This window comes from Homo sapiens, chromosome 15, assembly GCF_000001405.40.
Source record: "Homo sapiens chromosome 15, GRCh38.p14 Primary Assembly".
Classification (NCBI taxonomy): Eukaryota; Metazoa; Chordata; class Mammalia; order Primates; family Hominidae; genus Homo; species Homo sapiens.
The window spans coordinates 79,893,475-79,898,841 of record NC_000015.10 but is presented as its reverse complement, the minus strand read 5'-3'; the positions used below and the strand labels follow the sequence as shown (position 1 = coordinate 79,898,841).

Below are 5,367 nucleotides of genomic sequence, written 5' to 3'. Positions count from 1 at the left end.
TATGCCATTTTTGTCTTCAGTTTTGGAGTCTGGCTGGAAATTCAGCCAAAGGGTAAAAGCTCAACACAGGATCCAGGCAATTAATTATGGGATGATGACCAGGAAGGCGGTGTCTTTTCTGCCCCAGGCAGACTTTTAAGGTGTGCCATTACCCCAAAAGTCCTTTTCTGTGTCACTAGGCTAGACTGCAGACTAGACTGAGAAGCGGACTCAGGCTAGAAGCAGACTCAGGTCGGCTTCCCTCTTCCCTCCTTCCTTCCCATGCTTTCTGCAGTTTCCAGTGCCCCTGGCTGCTTAAGAGTTTCCATTGATGCCTCCTCCCCAGCCTTCTCTCTCTGGCTTGCCATTTGGGGTTGATGGATATGGCAACCTGATATGCAGGATACTCTGGGATATTCTGAACAAAGAAAATTGGTAAATGATTCAACGTGGAGCTAGTGTTAATTTTAATTTTTATTTTTTGGTAAAAATGAACAGATTAGAAAAGTACGTAGTTTGTTAGACCTCGTGTTCTAACTTTTAGGTCAGCAAATCTAATTGCACTATGTATACGCTGTACCTGCCTGGCCTTCCCTTTTTCTTACAACACAGTCCCCCTGGGACTTGCATTAGCTTTCCCTGGAAGCTGTTGATAGATTCCATAAAGAAGCCAGAACTCCCCTCTCAAGCCATGTGCATTCTCACCGGGCACTTAATTAATGCTTTACCTAGGAGGTGTGATTCTTAACGGTGGGGATTAAGACACTGGGGCGGTCAGTAGGGACGTATTTTTGGCAGAGACAGCTCTGGTTTTCTTAGGAAGTCACATCTGAGAGGCAACCGTCTATGCCATCTGAGGCGCCTGTCTACTGGGAGCAGTTTAAGACTTAACAGTTTCTTTTACCTCTTCCTGCAAGTGCCTCACCCACCCCCCAACTGCTTTTAGTTTTAATTCATTTTTGTGTTTTAATCAGAGCTGAGTGGTGGGAATGAACAGTCACTGATGGTTATAACAGGAAGTACCTATGTGGGCACTATTACCTGGAATACATTCACACTAGAAACCCGCAAAATTTGGCTTTTACACTACAGTTATTGCTTTAGCAGTGTTCCCGATTATGTATCATCTATACATTCATCACATAAGGACATTTCCATCAACCACTGTGGTCCCTTAAGATTATAATGGAGCTGAAAAATTCCTAATACCTACTGATGTGGTAGCCAACCAACACATTACCTTTTCTGTGTTTAGATACACAAGTATCACGGTGCTTACAATTGCCTACAGTATTCGGTACAAAATACGCTGTACAGGTGTGTAGCATAGGTGTGTAGTAACTTTGTGTAACTACACTCTGATGTTTGCACAAGAAGGAAATCGGGGCATCTGTCAGACCTATCCCTGTAGTTAAGCGACTCGTGACGATTTCGCTACATGTCCTGCCTTGCCCTTCTTTTCTGGCCCCTGAAGTCCCACTACTGAACAGTACAAGAGATGCCAGGCACCGTGGGTACTGCCGGCCATCTTTACCATCCCCGCCAGTGGCGCTGCCGCCTCCGCGGTCCCGGTGAGGGCCCAGGCTCAGGGAGGTCAGGCGGCAGGGCAGCGACGGCGCCTCGCCACCGCTCCCCTAACCGGGGAGGGCGAGCCGGACCACGGGGACCGCACGAGGGCTGGGTCCCAAGGGCCAGAGGCGAGGTAAGCGCGCGGCGCGCCGCGGGCCCGCGTCCCGGAAGCGGGGTGGGGGCGCTTCCCCGAGCCCCGACCCGCCCCTAGGCCGCGGATCCACCTGGGAGCGGCCAGGGGCGGAGACCGAACCCGAGGGCGCCCAGGGCGCCGAGGGCGGGACTGGACTCGGCTTGGGCGTGAGATGGCGGCGGCAGCGGTGAGCAGCGCCAAGCGGAGCCTGCGGGGAGAGCTGAAGCAGCGTCTGCGGGCGATGAGTGCCGAGGAGCGGCTACGCCAGTCCCGCGTACTGAGCCAGAAGGTGCGAGGCCGCCCGTAGCGGAAGCCGCGGCGGACAGACCCTCCGAAGGCCTGGCGGCCAGCGATTGCTGATCTGTGCATGGTCCGTGCTGGCGCTGGGCTAGGCGCCCCCCCACCCCCCGGCGCGCGCACGTTTCCCCTCCCGGCGCGCGCACGCCCCCTAGTCGTGGTCTGGACGCTCTTGGCACTATGGCGGGGAGAGGGCCCGGTAGTGAAAGTTGTGGGGCTAAAGAGCGAGAGGACGGCAGGGGTTGACAGATTTATCTCTGGGAGGGGAGTTTGTTTGCATGGGTGGCTCTTTTGGTGCTCGAAAACCCTCCGTGGGGATGACGGTGCTGTGGTGAGAGCACGGTGAGAACAGAAAGTTGTGGTAGAGGAGATGGGTGAACACCTGAGTGCCCAGGTTCCCTCAGTGAGGCCTAAAGTTAATGAGCTACGAGTAAGACTCCGGTTATATTAGTAAAATGGCCAGAGAAAGATGCAGGTGCTTTAGACGAGGGAACACCAAAAAAGGTGTGGAGATGCCAAAGGGCAGAACTCAGAGGTTGACTGGACTTCACTAAGCATATGGAGGGCTAAGGCTGTGTCTCAGTAGCTCCAGGGCCTAGGCTTTTCCTGTCTCAGAGTTGGTCAACATTAAATGCTTTTTCTTGAGTGAACGAAAGGAAGACTTGGCTATCATATCCAGGCTTCCCAAGAACGTAGGAAACAGAAGAGAGAAATGAGAGGAATAAGTGAGGGTCCGTGTTTGTTGGTTAGCAGACCTCTGTTTCATTACTTTCACCAACTGCACTGCTATGTATTTTTAGTCTATGTAATGTCAGTTTTCTTATCAATAAAATGGCAGTCATATCCTGTTGTGAAGGCATGTTCTAAAGAGTTTTTGGGGACTCATTTTTGTTAGACACCAGAGGAAGAAAAATTTAATGTCCCCTGAATAAGTACGTATTTGTAATTCTGTTGTAAGTCAAACTGATGATCTGTCTTCCCAGCATCATGCTTCAGAGACACCAGATATTTGGAAACTTGATGTTCCTTGGAATTAGTTATACCATCAGGCTTTCTTAATTACCCTTCACTATTCTATTATCCGTTATTTACTCAAATTCAAGGTGCCTATGGGTTAAAGCAGTAAAGCATATATGCTCATTTCACCCCTCTCTTCATCTATGTAGGTGTGTATGAGGGAATCTATACAGATGTTAATTCGTTCGTTCAAACAGAATTATTTTAGCTATTATGAGGAAGCATTGCTGGGTGTTTTAGTAGATGTAAAGGATATAGACTCTTGTCCTTACTATCTAGTTGTTTAAAATTTAGCTAATTCATTCACATATGTTGAACACCTATGTAGTGCACACTTGGCTATATACTGGGTTGTGGAGATGAAAAAGATATGATTGTTGCTCTAAAGGAGCAGAGAGCCTAGAAGAGGAAACAGACATGAATAAAGAATTGCATTGAAGCCAGATATATGATAAAGGTAAACACCAATGTTGTGGAAACATAGCCTTGGGGAGGGGAAATTGGAAAGCTTTCTATTGGAAAATGTTTGAGATGAATTTCGGAGAACAAGATGAATTCTTTCAGGTGAAGGGAAAGATGGGATAGGGGAGTGTGAGTAGGGATATTTAGGCAAGAGATGACAGGATACAGTTTAGCATGGGCTTTGGAACTGCACAGATCTGGGCTGAATCTGGCGCCATTGTTTTTTAACTGTATATCCTTGGACAGGTCTCATAATCTCTCAGAACCTTTGGTTCCTTGTCTATAAAATGGATAATATCACTCTTGTAGGTCGATTGTGAGAGTTAAAGAAGTGTGTAAAGGGATGTATTCAGAGCTTTACCTATTGTTTGTTATGTCCTTTAGGAAGAGTATAATGGCAGCATTTGGATAATGGGTTGAGGAAGGAAGAAAGAAAAAAAATATGGAGACCAGTAAGGGGCTGTTGTGCCAATTCAAGTGAAAGATGAAAAATATGCAAACCAGAGCATGGGCAGTGAAGATGAGGGGAAAGGAGGCAAATGGGAGACTGTTAAGTGAGAAACAGCAGGACTTGGCAACTGATTGGAAGAGGTTAGAGAATACTGGAAGGGGAGGAGAGTCACCAGTGATTCCAAAATTTAGAGCTTGGTATAATGGTGTTTAGCCTTAGGCATAAAGAAGGTAGGAATTGGAACAAATTTTGGAGGGGCATGGGGAAAATAAAGATGAATTCAGTTTCTAATCTTCTACGTTGTCTTTCTCCGTAGAAGATTAGAATTCATAAACTATAGATGGAAATAGTTTACATAGATACAGAGTCACTGACAGCAATAGAATGACGACTGAGAGCTGGCATTAAAGGAGGAGAGAGAAAAATTAAAAAGCAGACCCATGACCCTCAGTAATAAATACATTTTACTCTGTACAAACAAATATACACATACAAGGAACATTTTACAGCTCTTAAGCACATACAATGAAATTTAATATTTTCTTTTTTTTTCAAGACAGAGTCTTGCTCTGTCGCCCAGGCTGGAGTGCGGTGGCATGATCTCGGCTCACTGCAACCTCTGCCTCCCACGTTCAAGCGATTCTCCTGCCTCAGCCTCCCAAGTAGCTGGGATTACAGGCACGTGCCGCCATGCTCAGCTAATTTTTCTATTTTTAGTAGAGACGGGGTTTCACCATGTTGGCCAGGGTGGTCTCGAACTCGACCTCGTGATCTTCCCGCCTCTGCCTCCCAAAGTGCTGGGATTACAGGCGTGAGCCACTGTGCCTGGCTCGAACTTTAATATTTTCTATTCTATTTCATTTAAAAATTGTAGCCCACTATTGATTTCATGACTAACCAATGGATCATCACTGGAAACATCAGTGTACTGTGTAGTGTTTTGCCATAGTGAATGCTCAATAAAGGTGTTAAATGATGTCTTTCATTTAGAAAAGCGTATTTATTCTTATTGGCACTGTACCTTTTTATAACTTAGAAATTTATCAGAGAAGTAATTTAAATGGTAAAGAAATTCAGGTTTATGTCATATCTTGATTCCCTAAGATGAGGAAATTAGTGCCCCTTTACTCACTGTGTTTTCTACTCCCTCTGTCAGTTTCTGACATTTATATTGTTATATTTATGTTGTCAAGTTTTGTAATTTTTCTTTTTCTTTTTCCTTTTTTTTTTTTTTTTGAGAGGGAGTCTCGCTCTGTTGCCCAGGCTGTTATGCAGTGGCGTGATCTCGGCTTACTGCAAGCTCTGCTTCCCGGGTTCATGCCATTCTCCTGTCTCAGCTTCACAAGTAGCTGGGACTACAGGCGCCCGCCACCACGCCCGACTAATTTTTTGTATTTTTAGTAGAGATGGGGTTTCACCGTGTTAGCCAGGATGGTCTCGATCTCCTGACCTCGTGATC

General features: G+C 46.4%; 2 protein-coding genes across 4 annotated transcripts in view, besides 2 other annotated features; both read left to right on the top strand.

The window, feature by feature from the left end:
• Window positions 1–5,367, top strand: part of ST20-MTHFS (ST20-MTHFS readthrough) — a 79,546-nt gene that overhangs the window by 24,251 nt on the left and 49,928 nt on the right. The window lies entirely within an intron of this gene.
• Window positions 1,330–1,379: an enhancer, noted in NCBI's record as "active region_9934". NCBI's record gives its function as "activates an Ori minimal core promoter by ATAC-STARR-seq in GM12878 lymphoblastoid cells {active_cell/tissue: GM12878}" and the evidence as "EXISTENCE:reporter gene assay evidence [ECO:0000049][PMID:35858748]".
• Window positions 1,520–1,819: a silencer, noted in NCBI's record as "silent region_6724". NCBI's record gives its function as "represses an Ori minimal core promoter by ATAC-STARR-seq in GM12878 lymphoblastoid cells {active_cell/tissue: GM12878}" and the evidence as "EXISTENCE:reporter gene assay evidence [ECO:0000049][PMID:35858748]".
• Window positions 1,557–5,367, top strand: part of MTHFS (methenyltetrahydrofolate synthetase) — a 53,739-nt gene continuing 49,928 nt past the window's right edge. The window contains exon 1 of one of the 3 annotated variants that reach the window (NM_001199758.1): window positions 1,557–1,681. Coding sequence is in view for 1 of the 3 variants with exons in the window: in NM_006441.4 (NP_006432.1) it covers window positions 1,854–1,970 (117 nt within the window). In the remaining 2 variants the exon portion in view is untranslated. Of the gene's footprint in view, window positions 1,682–1,827; window positions 2,052–5,367 lie in introns of those variants that run through there. The other 2 variants (NR_037654.2, NM_006441.4) reach the window with 2 other exon arrangements.